Here is a 17,282-nt window from a genome sequence, read left to right as displayed (position 1 = left end):
CCCGGGAGAGGGAGCAGCCTCCCTGGGCATCCCAGATGGACTTCAGGGCACAGGATGGAGGAGACAGGAGAGGTCGGCTCAGGAGGGGGACCACAGACTCCTGGGAGGTGATGGTCCTTGGGACTAGGAGCAGGACCCATCCCAGAGCGGGGAGGAGGTGGAACAACAGGCCTGGGAGAGCTCCACACCAGACAGTGTCCAGGGCCCATGGCATTTCCAGAGCCAAGCACAACATGAATTTATGCTGAATTGTGCTGTGGAGTGAACGGTGTTCTTGTCCGTTCCTAGTATTTAAGGAATAAGAATTCGTTAACTTGAGATGAATTTGAAAATCTTGGCCAATAAATCTGATCTTGAAAAATTACCCAAAATGGGTTTGGGCATGGTGGCTCACTCCTGTAATCCCAGCAGTTTGGGAGGCCAAGGTGTGCGGATCATCTAAGGTCAGGAGTTGGAAACCAGTCTGGCCAACATGGTAAAACTCTGTTTCTACCAAAAACATACAGAAATTAGCGGGGCGTGGGAGCAGGCACCTGTAGTCCCAGCTACTCAGGAGGCTGAGGCAGGAGAATTGCTCTTTACCCGGGAGGCAGAGGTTGCAGTGAGCCAGATCACACCACTGCACTCCAGCCTGGGTGACAGAGTGAGACTCTCAAAAAGAAAAGCAAAGAAAAGAAAAATTACCCCAAATGGGCCGGGCGTGGCGGCTCACGCCTGTAATCCCAGCACTTTGCCAGGGAGGCCAGAACACGCGAAGAGCCCTGAATAGGTGGGGTCTGTACCTGGAGTTGACTGAGCGTGTGAAGCCCCCTGGCCTTTGTCCATGTGGCGAGCCTTTAAAGTAAAAATCAAAATGGCCTCGGCCGGGCGCCGTGGCTCACGCCTGTAATCCCAGCACTTTGGGAGGCCGAGGCGGGTGGATCATAAGGTCAGGAGATCGAGACCATCCTGGCTAACACGGTGAAACCCGTCTCTACTAAAAATACAAAAAATTAGCTGGGCGTGGTGGTGGGCGCCTGTAGTCCCAGCTGCTTAGGAGGCTGAGGCAGGAGAATGGCATGAACCCGGGAGGCGGATCTTGCAGTGAGCCGAGATCGCGCCACTGGCCGCTGCACTCCAGCATGGGTGACAGAGTGAGACTCGGTCTCAAAAAAAAAAAAAAAAAAGTAAAAAGAAAAAAGAAAAAAAATTACCCAAAAGGTAGTGAAGGCCTTGAGCCTCAGTACTACCAGGGACTGGGTGGGGGAGAAAGTGGAGGCAGGGCTTAGATGAGTGAGCTGGTGTCTCTGTGAGTCCTTAGCTGGTGGGGTGGGTTGCGGGTACATGAAGTCATGCTCCAGCCTAAGGGGCACGTGGGCACGTGTCATTGTCCCCAGAATAGTTAGCATTCACCTTGTGCCTTTGCTGAGAGCCATGCACTGAGCCCATCCTCCCTGCCATAATCTGCTGCGATTGCAGCCTTGATCATTCCCATTTCCCAGATGAGGCTGTGGGAGCTCAGGGGGAGCTGAGTCTCTCGCAAACACCGGTGCTTGACCTTGGCCCTGGAGCCATGCAGAGTAGAGATAAGGGCGCCCCTTGTAAATCTCCCCTCTCCCGCAGAAGGCATGGCAGGAAGTGGCCGGGTCTGCTCGGGAGCAGCCGAGCTGGAGGCTCACACCCTGGAGTCCCCCGGCCATGCAGCCAGCTTGGCGCCACCCTCCCTCTCGACCTCCTCCCACTGCAGACCTGTTAGTGTTGGGTTGAGAAGCGCAGGATCAAACCCAGGACTTTCAAATGGCAGAGCAGATTGCTAGAAGCCTCTGTATTTCCTGTCTGGTGGAGTCACCAGGCCCTGGATCGGCCGCTTTGATTCTCAGCTCGAGCCACTGCGAGGCTCCGTGCGTGGGGAGCGGGGTGGTTATTCATGCTCTGACCCAGGCATCCTGGAGAACCAGGACGGGCGACTGCTTTGAGAACCAGACGGGCGACTTTTCAGAATCTCCCTGCTTTAGAAATTTGACGCAAAATGCATGTAAAATTTGGGCTTTCCCACTTTTTTTTTTTAAAAATGGTCTCATTCTGTCTCCCAGACCGGAGTGCAGTGGCATGATCACAGCTCACTGCAGCCTCGACCTTCTCTGGCTCAGGTGATCCTCCCACCTCAGCCTCCCGAGTAGCTGGGACTATAGGCACATGCGACCATGCCCGGCTAGTTTTTTTTTTTTTTTTTTTTTGAGACAGAGTCTCACTCTGTCACCCAGGCTTGAGTACAATGGCATGATCTCAGCTCACTGCAACCTCTGCCTCCTGGATTCAAGCGATTCTCCTGTCTCAGCCTCCAGAGTAGCTGGGATTACAGGTGCCCACCACCATACTCGGCTAATTTTTTTTTTGTATTTTTAGTAGAGACGGGGTTTCACCATGTTGGCCAGGCTGGTCTCGAACTCCTGACCTCAGGTGATCCGCCCACCTCGGCCTCCCAAAGTGGTGGGATTACAGGCGTAAGCCACTGTGCCCGGCCGCCTGGCTAGTTTTTTGTATTTTTTGTAGAGACGGGGTCTTGCTGTGTTGCCCGGGCTGGTCTTGAACTCCTGGGCTCAAGTGATCCTCTTGCCTGGGCCGCCCAAAGGGCTGGGATCACAGGTGTGAGCCACTGTGCCCGGTCCGGAGAGTCTGTTAAGTGTGGCCTCCTAGTTGATGGGCCTAAGCCAAGCCCTGAGTCCAGGCTGAGGTCTGGCCTGGGAGAGTTGCTTTGGCGTCCTCAGCTCATAGGTGGCCTTTAGCCACCTATGGATCCAGGTGAGCCCACGGATTGGGCTGGGGCACACGTGACAAGGATTGGCCAGGAAGAGGAAGAAGAATGTGGAAGGGAGACCGAGCAGAGGCTGTCAGCAAGGGAGGCACTGGCCGGAGGGAGGGGGTGTTCCGGAAGCAAGAGGCAGAGGTGACGGCAGCCACCGCGGGTGGAGGGGACCTTTGGGCTCATGTGACCTCTGCCAGGTGCTTTTCATGGGTGTACAGGTCTTGACCCCTTTGATATTCTCAACAACCTCTGAGTGTCGACACAGTTGTACCCACTTAATGGATGAAGAAAGTAAGGCCCAGAGAGTGCATGAACTTGCCTAGGTCACATGGCTGCTTGTCTCCGGCCTCCCGAGGTCAGCGTGATTTCATGGTCCCCGATGGCCTCCGGAGTCTGGGACGGAATCCCCGTGGCCAAGGGCCTTCCTCAGGAGCAGGGCCATGGAGAAGGCGCGGAGAGGCCTGCGGGTTCTGTGGGTTTTGTGGGTTTTGTGGGCCAGCCTGAGAGACCGACCCTGCTCATAATGCCATCTCTGTGGACAAACTCCAGCCTGTGCCCAGCAGCCCCTGAGAACCACGTCTGCTCTGAGCTGGGTACTGCCTGTTCAGAACAAATGCCGGTTCCCAGACGCTGCCAGCTGGCCCCGTTCCTCTGGATTCCTGCCTTCTGCGGCAAGGGAGCCCGGACGCTGCAGTGGAAGGAGCAGGTGGCACTCGCTTGCCCGTGGGCAGGAGCTGTGCAGAGGAAACGGCGCTGGGATCCCTGGAGGCTGGCACGATGCTCCGAGGCCGCATCCTGGGGCGGCCGGAGTCTCTTTGGTGGCAGAGCTTGGAATCCCACGCCAGCCACCTGCTGCCACTGGCAGCCCCCACACCGTGACCCCCAGCTTTGTGCTTGCTGGGGCTCCTGGCAGGGAGGGGGTGGTGCAGGAAGGAGTCGCTCTGGCTGGGACTTGGACACACCTCAGTAGTAAGGGGATTACAAATTGGGCAGAAAAGACACCTTCTTTCCCTAGACCAGCTAAGCCCTGCTTGCGGTGGAGGGCGGGGGAGCGTGTCACCCTGAGTCACCCGGGCTGCTGTGAGCGTGACCAGGGCAGCGTCTGGGCAGAAGCGGGCCATCCTTTTCAGAGCCAGGCCCCGGAGCCACCCTAGGGACACCTCGGAGGCCTGGGTGCTGCTCTCACGGCCCGTGCAGTGGGTGGCCAGATGGGAGCCCCCGCACTGTGAGCTCAGCACCTTTCATGCCCACAGAGTCACCAGGAGACCCAGGTGCCCCCTCAGGGAGCAGAATGGGGAGGCTGGATCCTCACTCAAAGGTGAGGCCCGGCGCAGTGGGAGCCTTTTCCTCGTCCCCATCCTCCCTGCAGACGCTGCCGGTCACTCGAGTCAGGTCAGCTCTGCCACCGTCCTGGGTGCCGTGCCCCAGGCGGCGTGCTGTGGGAGCCTAGGAAGCTTTAGACGTGCCAGGCCCGCTGCCTGACCAGTCACTCCCGTGGGCCTGCCACATCCTGAACACCTGTGACAGGTGACTTCCTCCGGGGCGGAAGAATGTGGATGTGGTTATCTCGTGGAAAAAAGGTTTTTTTTCCACGCTCTGCAGACTTGGTTTTTAACCCCAGAGGCTCGGGGCGATCTGGGGCGGGTAGCACGGAGCCGCATCGCCACCTAGTGACCACACGACGGCACCGTCCTTGCCCAACGCCCCGTTTCCATCTCCTGCTGTCTGGAGCCTCCTGCTTTTGCTTTGGAGAGAAATCCAGAGGTGACTTTGCAGCTCAGCAGGTGCGGCGCCTGCACCGTCTTTTTTACCCCTTCCCGTTTCCCACCTTCCGGTCTGCAAAGGGTTGTTTACTTTAGGATTTTTTTAGGGAGAGGTGGTATTTAAAATATACGTAATGAAAACATTTTATTACTATCTTTAAATAAAAACAATCTGAATAGCTTAACAAAACAAATATAGAAAAATAAAGACAATTTGGATGTTTTATTTTATTATTTATTTAATTTTATTTATTTATTTTTTTGTGTGAGACAGAGTCTCGCTCTGTCACCTAGGCTGGAGTGCAGTGGTGTGATCTCAGCTCACTGCATCCTCTGCCTCCAAGCAATTCTCCTGCCTTCGCCTCCCCAGTAGCTGGGATAATGGGCATGCCCCGCCACGCCCAGCTAATTTTTTTTTTTTTTTTTGAGATGGAGTTTCACTCTTGTTGCCCAGGCTGGAGTGCAATGGTGCCATCTTGGCTCACCGCAACCTCTGCCTCCCAGGTAGAAACGATTTTCCTGCCTCAGCCTCCCGAGTAGCTGGGATTACAGGTGTGTGCCACCACGACCAGCTAATTTTGTATTTTTAGTAGAGATGGGGTTTTTCCATGTTGGTCAGGCTGGTCTCAAACTCCCGATTTCAGGTGATCTGCCCTCTTCGGCCTCCCAAAGTGCTGGGATTACAGGCATGAGCCACCGTGCCCGGCCTGCCTGGCTAATTTTTGTATTTTTAGTAGTGACAGGGTTTTGCCATGTTGGCCAGTGTCGAACTCCTGACCTCAGGTGATCCGCCTGCCTCAGCCTCCCAAGGTGCTGGGATTATAGACGTGAGCCACCGCACCTGGCTGAGAATTTCTGCTTAAATCAATTAAAAGAAAATTAACTACCAGGCATGGTGGCTCACGCCTATAATCCTAGCACTTTGGGAGGCTGAGGCAGGAGGATTGCTTGAGCTCAGGAGTTGGAGACCAGCCTGGGCAACATAGTGAGACCCCTGTCTCCACACACACACACGCACGCACGCACGCACGCACACACACACAAAAGTAAATAACCAGTCTCTCATGAGCCACACTTCCTTTATTCTTTTAAAAAAAAAATTTTGGCCAGGTGCAGTGGCCCACGCCTGTAATCCCAGCACTTTGGGAGGCTGAGGCGGGTGGAGCAAGTGGTCAGGAGATTGAGACCATCCTGGCTAACACGGTGAAACCCCATCTCTACTAAAAATACAAAAAATTAGCTGGGTGCGGTGGCAGGCGCCTGTAGTCCCAGCTACTCGGGAGGCTGAGGCAGGAGAATGGCGTGAACCCGGGAGCTTGCAATGAGCTGAGATCACGCCACTGCACTCCAGCCTGGGCAACAGATCGAGACTGTCTTGCTCTGTCATCCAGCTTGGAGTGCAGTGGCACGATCCTAGCTCACTGCAGCCTCGAAGTCCTGGGCTCAAGCGATCCTCCCACCTCAGCTTCCCGAGTAGCTGGGAGTACAGGTGCGTGCCACCATGGCTGGATAATTTTTGTACTTTTTGTAGAGCTGGGCTCTCACTATGTCGCCCAGGCTCTTCTCAAACTCCTGGGCTCAAGTGATCCTCCTGCCTTGGCCTCCTGAAGGGCTGGGATTATAAGTGTGAGCCACCATGCCCGCCGTGACTTGGTCTTTTTGTGTCACCTACCAGGGAAGAATCTCCATGCCTGTGGCGCCTTCTGCTGTGGCTGCCCTCAGCATCTGTGCTAGGATCCTGGGGCTGCCAGGACAATTGATCACAAACTGAGTGGCTTCATGCAACAGGCATTTATTGTCTCACGATTCTGGAGCCCAGAGGCCCCAAATCAGGCTATGGGCAGGGATGGTTCATTCCTTCTGAGGATGGTGAGGAGGAACTCGGGCGCCTGCCAGCCACGCCTGGCACTGCTTGGCTGGTGGACACGTGGCCCCAGTCTCTGCCTCTGTTGTGACCTGGCCGCCTTCTGTCTGTGTCTGGGTATCTCTGTGCCTTCACCTGGCCTTATAAGGAACCAGTCATTAGATTTAGAGTCCCCATCATGCAGGATGCATCCTCCTCTTAACTCCCTTGCATCCGCAACAAACCTGCCTCCAAATAAGGCCACACCCTCAGGTCCCAAGGTGAGGACTCCTGCATAGTGTGTGTGTGGGGGGGCGTCGCAGCTCAGTCCACACTAGCCCCTCCCCATTCGCCTCAGCCCGTCCCTCCAGCGGCTCCTCCCCCCACCCCGGGAGTTCCTGGCAGCCCCTGAAGTCACGTGAGTTCCCCTCCAGCCTCTCTGCTCCCTCTTGATTCTTATCTCAGGGGCTCGCTGCACCCCACAACCTGCCACAGTCCAGGTCTTGCCCAGTCCCACAGCCTGGTTCTCCAAGGGCCCCCCGGGCCTGTCCTCAGCAGCGCCACATCCCCACATCTGCCACTGTACTTCGAGACATGGCCTGTCCTTCTGCTTTCTGTCTGCATGGACAGACTCCCCAGGAAGGATCTAGAATGTCGTCCCCTACTTCCCTTTCCCAAGTCCTCCCCTTTCCCCTGGGTTCTCCCGTCTTGGTCTCTGTCACTGTAGCCTTGGTGCGGACTTGGGCCTCCCCCCTGCCCTGGCTGCCAACCTCTTAGCTTGGCCCCACTCCCCTCGGCCTCCTCCTTTGGCCCTGCAGCCATCCAGCGCTGTCCTCCCATCTGTCGTGGCTGAAGTGGCCCCCATCTGGCTGAAGTTCCTGCCCACCTTACCCCCTGCCTCCCAGATTCTCGCCCTCTCCCTCCCCCACACCAGCCTCCCGGATTACCGCCCTCTCTCATGGTGTTCAGTCCTTATCTGCCTCCCTGTCCAGCTGAGCTTCCCAAGGGCAGGGGCCATGTGTGGGGTCCTCTTTGCATCCGCTGCCCAGCACACCAGCGTTTGAGGAAGATAGGGTGCCTGGGGGTCATTGGGGTGCACCAGGCAGGCTGCGGACACAGATGCTGATGGCCTCGGCTGGTGACTTGAAGCCGGGCTCTGTAGACACTGGCTGGCTGCTTGCATCAGGCCCACCGGGTCGCCTCCAAATCAGATCTCCAAGGGGGACCCTGGGGGCCTGAGTCGGCACCCAGTACTCCAAGGGATAGTGGTATTGGTGGGAGGTGGCGGGAACAGCTGGGCTGGGCCCCAGGCCAGGAAGCTTCCACTGGCAGCACCTCCAGACGCCCAGCTGGCCTGGCCTGCGAGCCCCTCCCTCGGACCTCACAGCTGCCCTCTCTCCCCGCAGGCTGGAGCAGCCCTACTTCAGCGCCAACGCCCAGTTCTTCCAGGCGCTGAGCCAGTGCCCCTCGCTGCAGCGCCTGTGCCTGGTCTCTCGCAGCGGCACCCTCCAGCCCGATGCCGTGCTGGCCTTCATGGCTCGCTGCCTGCAGGTTGTCATGTGCCACCTGTTCACCGGGGAGTCCCTCGCCACCTGCAAGAGCCTGCAGCAGTCGCTTCTCCGCAGGTGAGTGATGTGGGTTGCGTACAGCTTCAGGGGCCGCAGAAATCACCAGCATCCCGTGACCTGGTCCCCAGCCTTCACCGAGTGCCTACCAGTGGTTTCTTGGAATTGACGAGCACCAGGCAGTGACAGGGTGAAAGCAAGGGGTTTGGTCTCCCACGGCCCAGCCTCTGCTCCTTGAGCATTCCCTAGCCACATGGTAAATTTTCTAGATAGTTCAAGCTCTCCTCTCCCACAAGTACAAAAGTCTTCTTCTTATTATTATTATTACTTTTGAGACGGAGTCTCACTGTGTTGCCCAGGCTGGAGTGTAGTGGCGAAATCTCGGCTCACTGCGACCTTCGCCTTCCGGGTTCAAGCGATTCTCCTGCCTTGGCTTCCTGAGTAGCTGGGATTACAGGCCTGCGCCACCAGCATGTATTTTGTATTTTAGTAAAGATAGGGTTTCACCATGTTGGTCAGGCTGGTCTCGAACTCCCGACCTCAGGTGATCCGCCTGCCTCGGCCTCCCAAAGTGCTGGGATTACAGGCATGAGCCACCGCACCCAGCCTGCAACCATCTTTAACTCTGGATTTTTCACATCTCTGCCCGTTGTTTGGATCTAGAAGCAGTGCTTACTTGGGCAGTTGTGGGTAAAGGCGGTAGATTGAACAGAGAACCTTTCCTTCTCCCTCTCCCTCGCCACCTGCTGTCAGGCCCTTTCTGGAAGGCCCACATAGTCTGGCCCCTCTTCCCTTAGCTAGCTAGCATCTCCGCTTCCCCTCGTGACAGGGCATCCTGGAGTTTGATGCTCTGCTGCTGCGCAGGAAGTCAGGTGAGCACCTAGAATTGAACACAAATTAGGAGGAGGCGATTCCTGGAGAGAGCTGGAGCTTGGTAGGCGATGTGGGGAGTGACGCATTTCAAGACCTCTCAGGAGGACGGGCTGACTGCTGGAGTGATCAGGGCTCCTGAGAGAGGCGTGCGCCCGGCCAAGGGGGCAGCAGGACATGAACGCCCTGAGTGTTCGTGTCCCTGCAGGTGGGGAGAGGTGACAGGAAGGAGGCCCCAGCTGTTCACAGAGTTGCGAGAAGAGCCATCAGCCAGGACGTCTCGAGCCACTGGGCGCCGACAACCCTGCTTGCCAGACTCTGGGGTAGTCTGTTGTCCTTGCGGTCGGCCGCTGGCTGTCTCAGGAATAATCCTGGTTGGGGTTTCCCCCTCTCTGGTTGTAAAAACAACTTGTGTTTATAGAGTACTTTTTAAAAATTTAGACTATGCATCAATCTTTTTTCTTGTTTGTTTGTTTGAGACAGAGTCTCACTCTGTCGTCCAGGCTGGAGTGCAGTGGCGGGATCTCAGCTCACTGCAACCTCTGCTTTCTGGGTTGCAACCTCAGCCTCCTGAGCAGCTGGGATTACAAGTGTGCACCACTATACCTGGCTAATTTTTGTATTTTTCTTTTTTTCTTTTTTGAGACAGAGTCTCGCTCTGTCGCCCAGGCTGGAGTGCAGTGGCGTGATCTCGGCTCGCTGCAAGCTCTGCCTCCCGGGTTCACGACATTCTCCTGCCTCAACCTCCCAAGTAGCTGGGACTACAGGCGCCCGCCACCACACCTGGCTAATTTTTTGTATTTTTTTTTTTTTTAGTAGAGACGGGGTTTCACTGTGTTGGCCAGGATGGTCTCGATCTCCTGACCTCATGATCTGCCCACCTCGGCCTCCCAAAGTGCTGGGATTACAGGCGTGAGCCACCGCGCCCGGCCTAATTTTTGTATTTTTAGTAGAGACGGGGTTTCATCATGTTGCCCAGGCTGGTCTCTAACTCCTGACCTCAGGTGATCCGCTTACCTCAGCCTCCCAAAGTGCTGGGATTACAGGCGTGAGCCACAACGCCTGGCCAACATCAACCTATTTTTAAGTGAAGGTTTCCCAACAGTGAATGCTGCCAACTTTCCCTGGAGAATGAACTGGAGATAGGGTTCTCATATTGTTTTGTAATCTGATTTTTAAAAATGTAACACTACACCGTGGAGTCCTCTTGTGTCAGTAAATAAAGCCCTAAGTGATTATTCTCAGTGCTGTCCTCACGGCTCTCATCTGGGTGTCGTGGTCCGCCCTGGTTCATGGCGGTTTTAAAAACACGGTCACTGTGTCCTCGACTTTGCTTTGGATCTTGACTTCGCCTGCGGTGGAACCAGGGGGGCAGCCTGGGTGGCAGCTGGAATGTTCCAGCTCAGCCCCTTGGCTCTGCTTCCCCACATCTTAGCATCCTTGTGCTGTGAGCTGGATGTGACACCTGCTGATGTACCCCATTTTAGGAGGGCTGAGTGGGTCACAGGCTCCAAAGGGCTTAGTCGAGTGGGCTTGGGAACAGGCGGTAGCTGTTGGGGGAAGGGGTGCACTGTGCTCTGTGAGGCTGTGGTACCGAGAGGCTAAAGCTGGGTTTTCTCAGGTGTGGCGGATGCAGGCAGCTCCGCCCTAGCTCTGTCCTGTCAGATGTGGGAAGAGCCTCGGGCCTTCGCCCCCCATACGCTTGCGCTTGCGGCTGGGCTCCACTCACAGGCCCTCCAGCCAGTGGGAGGCTGCGACTGTGCACCTAGAGCTGCCACCTCCTGCGTGGGTGTTTTGTTGAAGGGACTTGGGAGTGGGCGTTGCCTCTCTTCTGTTGCCTGTGAGTCTGGGGCCCTCAGACCCATCCCATGCGGGACGGTCTCAGCTCCGCAGGGCTGGGGCGACTTCCTGTGGCGATGGGGGCCGGCTCTGGGAGTTGTCTGTTTCCTTGCTGCAGCGGAGAACGTCCACGATCCCCAAGCAGTTCAGGACGGCTGTGCTCATGACGGGGCAGCCCCCCGCCCCACCCTCGAAGGCCTCCTGCTCCGATGAGCCTGCTTTTCCTTCTGGTCCTCAGAATCCTCTCTGCATGGCGCTACAGGCGGGTCGGTTGGACGTGGCACCGGATGCCAGCCCCTGCTCTGAGCTGCTCTCCTCCATTCACCTGCTGCCTGTGGCCGGCTCCATGCCGCCCCTTGCAGGCCGGGAGCTTGCCCTCTGGCCTCCTGGGGTGACCTGCACCTTCGTGGTTTTTAGGCAAGTCTGATGATCTAAGGTGGATGCAGTAAGCTCTTTGCGTTCCCCGGTTGGACGGTGCGTTTTTTGAAGGCTGGTGCTCCACAGCTCTTTGGTGTTTTGTGTCCTCAGGCACAAGCTGAGCCCGGCGCTGAGCTCGCAGGTGGCCCCAGAGGGCGCTGGTTACACGCAGGTGCCTGGGAGAGCCCTTGATCACCCATGCTTGCTGCGTGGTGTTGGAGAGCAGCCTCAGGACTTCCTCGGCAGAAGCCGTGCCCATCCCTCTGTGCCAGTCCCTCTGTGACCCCACCCACCCCTCCCCCTCCGATGTCCCGCACCTGGTGCAGCACCCAGGCCTGTGGTGGGACCCACGGCGCACTTGCTGCCAACCGAGTGGGATGCGGGTGTTGAGGCGTCCGTGTTCGCAGTGTGCCTCCCGTGTGTGCCCCTCCAGGGCGCCTGCCTGGGGCCCCCATGGTGCCTCTCTCTGCTCCAGGCACTGCATCTTGCCTCTTGTTCAAGCCTCACAGAAGCCCTGTGAGGTCAGTGCTATCAGCCCCAGCTTACAGATGGAGAAACAGTCTTCGAGAGCTGCCCTGAGCAATGAGGCAGGGAGTGAGTGCTGGAGGGATGGGAGTTCACGCCTGGAAGAGGAGAGGGGCCGTGTCGGGGACTGTGCAGGGCCATCCAGGGCTGAGGGGACCTCTGTGGGGACCTCCAGGCTCTGTGCTGGGCAGGCTGTGTCAGGATCTTCTGCAGATGAGAGGGTCACAGCATTGCAGGGACCTCTGTGCTCACATAAGCTGGATTCCCCCAGGGCTGCTGAAAGCCTTTCTCTTCCCACCCTGCTGGCAGTCAGATACCACCCCAAAGCCAGGTGGGAGAGGCCCCGTCCACGGACACCTGTACCACAGCTTCCTCGTGGCATCAGTGCCTGTGCCTGGCTCCACGCCGGCCCCGGTCACGGCAGTGTGGCCCGAGCCGCAGGTCCCAGCTGACCTGCAGACAGGGTCTGACCGGCCTTCCCTGGGCTTTCCAGCCCAGGGCACCTGTGTGGGCCTAGGGGTCAGTGTCAGCCCTGCAGCTCTGGCCTTTGCAGCTGCGCCCAAGGCCCAGCAGGTGGCGCTGGGGCTCCCGGGAACCGGCCGCAGGCCCCGCCCCCTGCTTTGCGCCCTGGGCGCGGAAGGAGGAGGAGGAGCAGCGGTTTGCTCTCGCTTTTCCTGACGCTTTTCTCTTTCTCGTCTTTTTTCCTGCCTGGAGGATTTATGGAGCCAGAGGGAGGACCTGGCCCCGGGCTGTTGTGCGGCTCACCCGTCCTCTCCCTGGGTGGCCTGGGGTCTCAACCGTCTCTCTGTGTCTCAGCCTGCAGGGCCGGCCGGTGTCGTGGCTGCTGACCTGTCGCCGGTGACCTGTTGCTGGTGACCGCGCTGCCTTTTTTGATGGCCATCACCCTCCTGTCTCTGACAGACTCACCTTCACACACGACTGGGTATCGGCCGCCGTCTCTTCTTTTTCTTTCTTTTTCTTTTTTTAGAGACAGGGTCTCTCTCTGTTGCCCAGGCTGGAGTGCAATGGTGCAATCACAGCTCACTGCAGCCTTGACCTCCCAGACTCAAGTGATCCTCCTGCTTCAGCCTCCTCAGTACCTGGGACTACAGGTGCACGCCACCACTCCCGGCTAATTTTTACATTTTTTTATAGAGATGGAGTCTCCCTATGTTGCCCAGGCTGGCTTTGTTTTCTTTGTTGTTGTTTTTTGTTTTTTTTTGAAACAGAGTTTCGCTCGTTTCCCAGGCTGGAGTGCAGTGGCACGATCTTGGCTCACTGCAGCCTCCACCTCCCAGGTTCAATAGATTCTCCTGCCTCTGCCTCTGGAGTAGCTGGGATTAGAGGCATGTGCCACCACAACCAGCTCATTTTTTTTTTTTTTTTTTGAGATGGAGTTTTGCTCTTTTTGCCCAGGCTGGAGTGCAATGGTACCATCTCGGTTCACTGCAACCTCTGCCTTCCAGGTTCAAGCAATTCTGCCTCAGCCTCCCGAGTAGCTGGGATTACAGGCATGCGCCAGCACGCCCAGCTAAATTTTTATTTATTTATTTATTTATTTATTTATTTATTTATTTTTTTGAGACAGAGTCTTGCTCTGTTGGCCAGGCTGGAGTGCAGTGGCACAATCTCGGCTCACTGCAACCTCCGCTTCCTGGGCTCAAGCAATTCTCCTGCCTCAGCCTCCTGAGTAGCTGGGATTACAGGCGTGTGCCACCACGCCCGGCTAATTTTTTTGTGTTTTTTTTAGTAGAGATGGGGTTTCACCATGTTGACCAGGCTGGTCTCGAACTCCTGACCTCTCAGGTAATCCGCCCACCTCAGCCTCCCAAAGTTCTGGGATTAGAGGCTTGAGCCACCGCGCCCGGCCACACCCGGCTAATTTTGAATTTTTAGTAGAGACAGGGTTTCTCCATGTTGGTCAGGCTGGTCTCGAACTCCCGACCTCAGATGATCTGCCCGCCTCGGCCTCCCAAAGTACTGGGATTATAGGTGTGAGCCACCATGCCTAGCCCCCGGGGTGGTCTTGAACTCCTGGACTCAAGTGATCTTCCCACCTCAGCTTCCCAGAGTGCTGGGATTACAGGCGTGAGCCACTGCGCCTGGCCTCCCTTTTTTATTTATTTATTTTTTTTGCACATCTGATGGGTAATGTGTCTGCAGCATCTGAACAAGGTTTGAGAGAGGCACATCTCGCCAATGAGTGTGAACACCCAGTCATCACATTGAGGAACTATAGGAGGATCTTAACTTTTCCCAAACTCAGTCTTTTTGAGCCTCATTATGTACGTAGCAGACTATGAAGCCGCACAGGAGTGCCCTCTGACTGCCAAGAAGGGCTGGCCTTTCTGTCCCAATCCACAGAGACTCCCCCTCTGCCCCAGGTGTCCCCTCCACACACTACTCTAGAGTGGCACCTTCTCACATCACCCAGGGACATCCAAAGCAGGCTGCTCCTTCCTGGCCGCAGAGACAGATGCAGCCTGTGACCCCCTCAGGGTGTGTGGAAGAGCAGGCCCCCCTGCTTCATTCCTTGCTTGTGGCGAGAAACGAATCCTGGCTGGGTGCCATGGCTCACACCTGTCATCGCAGTGCTTTGGGAGGCCAAGGGGGGAGGATTGTTTGAGCCCAGGAGTTTGAGACCAGGCTGGGCAACATGGTGAGATCCTGTCTCTACAAAAAATAAAAAATAAAAAATAATGGCCGGGTATGGTGGCTCACACCTGTAATCCCAGCACTTTGGGAGGCTGAGGCGGGTGGATCACTTGAGGTCAGGAGTTCGAGACCAGCCTGGTCAACATGGTGACACCCTGTCTCTACTAAAGATACAAAAATTAGCCAGGCATGGTGGCGGGCACCTGTAATCCTGGCTGCTTGGGAGGCTGAGACGGGAAAATCGTTTAAGCTCGGGAGGCGGAGGTTGCATTGAGCCAAGATCACGCGATTGCACTCCAGCCGGGGCGACAGAGTAAGACTGCGTCTCAAAAAAAAAAAAAAAAATTAGCTGGTCAGTGTGGTGATGTGTGCCTGTGGTCCCAGCTACTGGCTTCAGTGAGCTATGATTGTGCCACTGCACTCCAGTCTGGGAGATAGAGCAAGACCCTGTCTCGAAAAAAAAAGAAAAATCACCTTCCATGTCCCGACAGCAGCTCTTTTTTTTTTTTTTTTTTGAGACAGAGTCTCCCTCTGTCGCCCAGGCTGGAGTGCAGTGGCGCAATCTCTGCTCACTGCAAGCTCACCTTCCAGGTTCATGCCATTCTCCTGCCGCAGCCTTCCGAATAGCTGGGACTACAGGCGCCCACCACCACGCCCGGCTAATTTTTTTTTTGTATTTTTAGTAGAGACGGGGTTTCACCGTGTTAGCCAGGATGGTCTTGATCTCCTGACCTCGTGATCCACCCGCCTTGGCCTCCCAAAGTGCTGGGATTACAGGCGTGAGCCACCACGGCCAGCCGACAGCAGCTCCTTAACAGCCTCACGAGCTGGAGCCAGAGGGGGTGGAGTTTGATGCAAATCAAGTACATGGCATGACGGTTTCACAGGCCAGGATGCGTCTGCCACATGACCCGTGGTGTTCACGGTCATGGACATTGCTGCCCACGAGATTACTGTGTGGAAAGAGGTGTGTGATGGCGTCTTTATTGCCGAAACCTCTGCTTTTGTGAGTGCCTTTCTGCTATTGACTCTGTGTGTCGTGAGTCCAGCACCACCTCAGGCAGGGTCACAGCGAGAGGCTGGACCCCGTCGTCCTCTTCCCTTTAAGTGGCCGCTGTGGCCGGGGGGACTTGACTTAGTGTTGGCAAACGGTGAGGTTCTTTGTCGTGGGTAACTCCCTGCCTTGCACCCACTGAGACTCTGGGCAGAAGTTTCTGGATTTTTTTTTTGTCTTTTTTTTGAGACGGAGTTTTGCTCTTGTTGCCCAGGCTGGAGTGCAGTGGCGCAATCTCGGCTCACTGCAACCTCCGCCTCCCAGGTTCAAGTGATTCTCCTGCCTCAGCCTTCCAAGTAGCTGGGATTACAGGCATGCACCACCATGCCCGGCTAATTTTGTATTATTAGTAGAGATGGGGTTTCTCCATGTTGGTCAGGCTGGTCTCGAACTCCCGACCTCAGGTGATCTGCCCACCTCGGCCTCCCAAAGTGCTGGGATTACAGGCATGAGCCACTGCGCTCAGCCTCGATTTTTTTTTTCTTTTTTTGAGATGGAGTCTCGCTCTGTTGCCCAGGCTGGAGTGCAGTGGCACGATCTCGGCTCACTGGAAACTCCACCTCCTGGGTTCAAGGGATTCTCCTGCCTCAGCCTCCTGAGTAGCTGGGACTACAGGCACCCGCCATCCTGCCTTGCTAATTTTTGTATTTTTAGTAGAGACGGGGTTTCACCATGTTGGCCAGGCTGGTCTCAAACCCCTGACCTCAGGTGATCCATCTGCCTCTGCCTCCCAAAGTGCTGGGGTTATAGGTGTGAGTCACTGCGCCCGTCCTGGATGTTTTTGTCTTCCTCTCTGGGGCACTGCTATGTTTTTCCTTCTGCCTGGAGCTCCCGGGCTGGCACTTGGGTCGTCTTTGTATTTTCTTTTCTTCTTCTTTTTCTTTTTTTTTTTTGAGACAGGGTCTTACTGTGTTGCCCAGGCTGGAGTACAGTGGCGTGATCTTAGCTCACTGCCGCCTCTACCTCCTGGGCTCAAGTGGTCCTCCTGCCTCAGCCTCCCAAGTAGCTGAGGTGACAGGCATGCACCACCATGCCTGACTCATTTTTTAAAATTTTTTATAGAGACAAAGTCTCCCTATGTTGCCCAGGCTGTTCTGGGACTCCTGGCCTCAAACAATCCTCCCACCTCAGCCTCCCAGGTGTTGGGATTACAGGGGCAAGCCACAAATGCACTTGCATTGCATTTTGGCCTAGGAGGGCCAGTAGGGCTGTGCTGGTGGCCTGCTCTGACTGTGGAGGGGTCCCTGTTCTGCTTCATGGCCCGCTGGGGGACTGTGGTTGGTTGTAGGGTTGTGGGGAAGGCAAAATGAGGTCATGTCTGTCGAGCTCAATGCAGCGTCTGGCACTCGGTGGGCACCCCGTGGCAATTGTGCATGAGTTTTCGTGCACAGCGTGGCGGGGGCTGGTCGCCTGGGGGTGGGGGCATTGGGGGGGGGTCGCCTACCTGCCATTTGTCATGCGGTCAAACGTGTGCTTTTCCTGAGTGGCCACCTGGGTATCTGCTCCTCCCAGCGACTGCTGCTGCCTCACTGACTTGGCAGTCGCACCCCCTTGAGGTGGCCCACCTGCGGCTGTGGGGTGTGGGCACCTGTCCCTTCTCTCTGTCCTGGCCGTGGGGCTTCCGTGGGCCAGGGGCCTCGGATCTGCCACTCCTGCAGTGGGGTCCCTCTGCTGCCCTGGGGCCCAGCAGCACGTCTGCAGAGCAGGGTTGGCCTCCGGGGCCTCTGATCCTCGTGGCTGGCATGGAGCGGGTGCCCCCTGAGCCTGGAGAGAAGCGTGTGGCCTGTTCCCGGCTGCCGTGCTCCTCCCCAGCTCTGTCTGCCACGTACAGGGCCCTTGAGGCACTTAGAGGGTGACTCTGGCAGGCATGGTCTGTCTGGGAGCCCCAGGTGAGCCCGGGACGGGGAGGCAGGTGTGAGTGCCTCCTGGGCTTCCCCAGCAGGCTCCGCCCCCTCCGTGGCCACCC

At 56.6% G+C, this 17,282-nt stretch overlaps 1 protein-coding gene and 2 non-coding genes across 8 annotated transcripts in view, besides 9 other annotated features; 2 read left to right on the top strand and 1 right to left on the bottom strand.

The window, feature by feature from the left end:
• Positions 1 to 17,282, top strand: part of FBXL18 (F-box and leucine rich repeat protein 18) — a 59,385-nt gene that overhangs the window by 14,563 nt on the left and 27,540 nt on the right. For 4 of the 6 annotated variants that reach the window (NM_001363441.2, NM_001367781.1, NM_001367780.1 and 1 more), the window contains exon 4: positions 7,798 to 8,016. In NM_001363441.2, coding sequence (NP_001350370.1) covers positions 7,798 to 8,016 — 219 coding nt within the window. Of the gene's footprint in view, positions 1 to 7,797; positions 8,017 to 8,785; positions 10,071 to 17,282 lie in introns of those variants that run through there. The other 2 variants (NM_001321213.2, NM_001363442.2) reach the window with 2 other exon arrangements.
• Positions 3,330 to 3,428, top strand: MIR589 (microRNA 589). The gene has a single exon (NR_030318.1). It is a non-coding gene; the product is annotated as a microRNA 589 (primary transcript).
• Positions 3,987 to 4,036: an enhancer, noted in NCBI's record as "active region_25581". NCBI's record gives its function as "activates an Ori minimal core promoter by ATAC-STARR-seq in GM12878 lymphoblastoid cells {active_cell/tissue: GM12878}" and the evidence as "EXISTENCE:reporter gene assay evidence [ECO:0000049][PMID:35858748]".
• Positions 4,107 to 4,186: an enhancer, noted in NCBI's record as "active region_25580". NCBI's record gives its function as "activates an Ori minimal core promoter by ATAC-STARR-seq in GM12878 lymphoblastoid cells {active_cell/tissue: GM12878}" and the evidence as "EXISTENCE:reporter gene assay evidence [ECO:0000049][PMID:35858748]".
• Positions 10,082 to 10,803: an enhancer, noted in NCBI's record as "H3K4me1 hESC enhancer chr7:5528075-5528796 (GRCh37/hg19 assembly coordinates)". NCBI's record gives its function as "activates a minimal SCP1, AML or CMV promoter by ChIP-STARR-seq in primed H9 embryonic stem cells {active_cell/tissue: H9 hESC(primed)}" and the evidence as "EXISTENCE:reporter gene assay evidence [ECO:0000049][PMID:30033119]".
• Positions 11,526 to 12,247: an enhancer, noted in NCBI's record as "H3K4me1 hESC enhancer chr7:5526631-5527352 (GRCh37/hg19 assembly coordinates)". NCBI's record gives its function as "activates a minimal SCP1, AML or CMV promoter by ChIP-STARR-seq in naive H9 embryonic stem cells {active_cell/tissue: H9 hESC(naive)}" and the evidence as "EXISTENCE:reporter gene assay evidence [ECO:0000049][PMID:30033119]".
• Positions 11,526 to 12,248: a biological region, named in NCBI's record as "H3K4me1 hESC enhancer GRCh37_chr7:5526631-5527352".
• Positions 11,549 to 11,638: an enhancer, noted in NCBI's record as "active region_25579". NCBI's record gives its function as "activates an Ori minimal core promoter by ATAC-STARR-seq in GM12878 lymphoblastoid cells {active_cell/tissue: GM12878}" and the evidence as "EXISTENCE:reporter gene assay evidence [ECO:0000049][PMID:35858748]".
• Positions 11,909 to 11,998: an enhancer, noted in NCBI's record as "active region_25578". NCBI's record gives its function as "activates an Ori minimal core promoter by ATAC-STARR-seq in GM12878 lymphoblastoid cells {active_cell/tissue: GM12878}" and the evidence as "EXISTENCE:reporter gene assay evidence [ECO:0000049][PMID:35858748]".
• Positions 12,019 to 12,068: an enhancer, noted in NCBI's record as "active region_25577". NCBI's record gives its function as "activates an Ori minimal core promoter by ATAC-STARR-seq in GM12878 lymphoblastoid cells {active_cell/tissue: GM12878}" and the evidence as "EXISTENCE:reporter gene assay evidence [ECO:0000049][PMID:35858748]".
• Positions 12,129 to 12,248: a silencer, noted in NCBI's record as "silent region_17915". NCBI's record gives its function as "represses an Ori minimal core promoter by ATAC-STARR-seq in GM12878 lymphoblastoid cells {active_cell/tissue: GM12878}" and the evidence as "EXISTENCE:reporter gene assay evidence [ECO:0000049][PMID:35858748]".
• Positions 13,746 to 13,852, bottom strand: LOC124901847 (small nucleolar RNA U13). The gene has a single exon (XR_007060681.1). It is a non-coding gene; the product is annotated as a small nucleolar RNA U13 (small nucleolar RNA).

This window comes from Homo sapiens, chromosome 7 (assembly GCF_000001405.40).
Source record: "Homo sapiens chromosome 7, GRCh38.p14 Primary Assembly".
NCBI lineage: Eukaryota > Metazoa > Chordata > Mammalia > Primates > Hominidae > Homo > Homo sapiens.
Note: the sequence above shows the minus strand (reverse complement) of the source record. Positions and strands in the feature narration are given on the sequence as shown.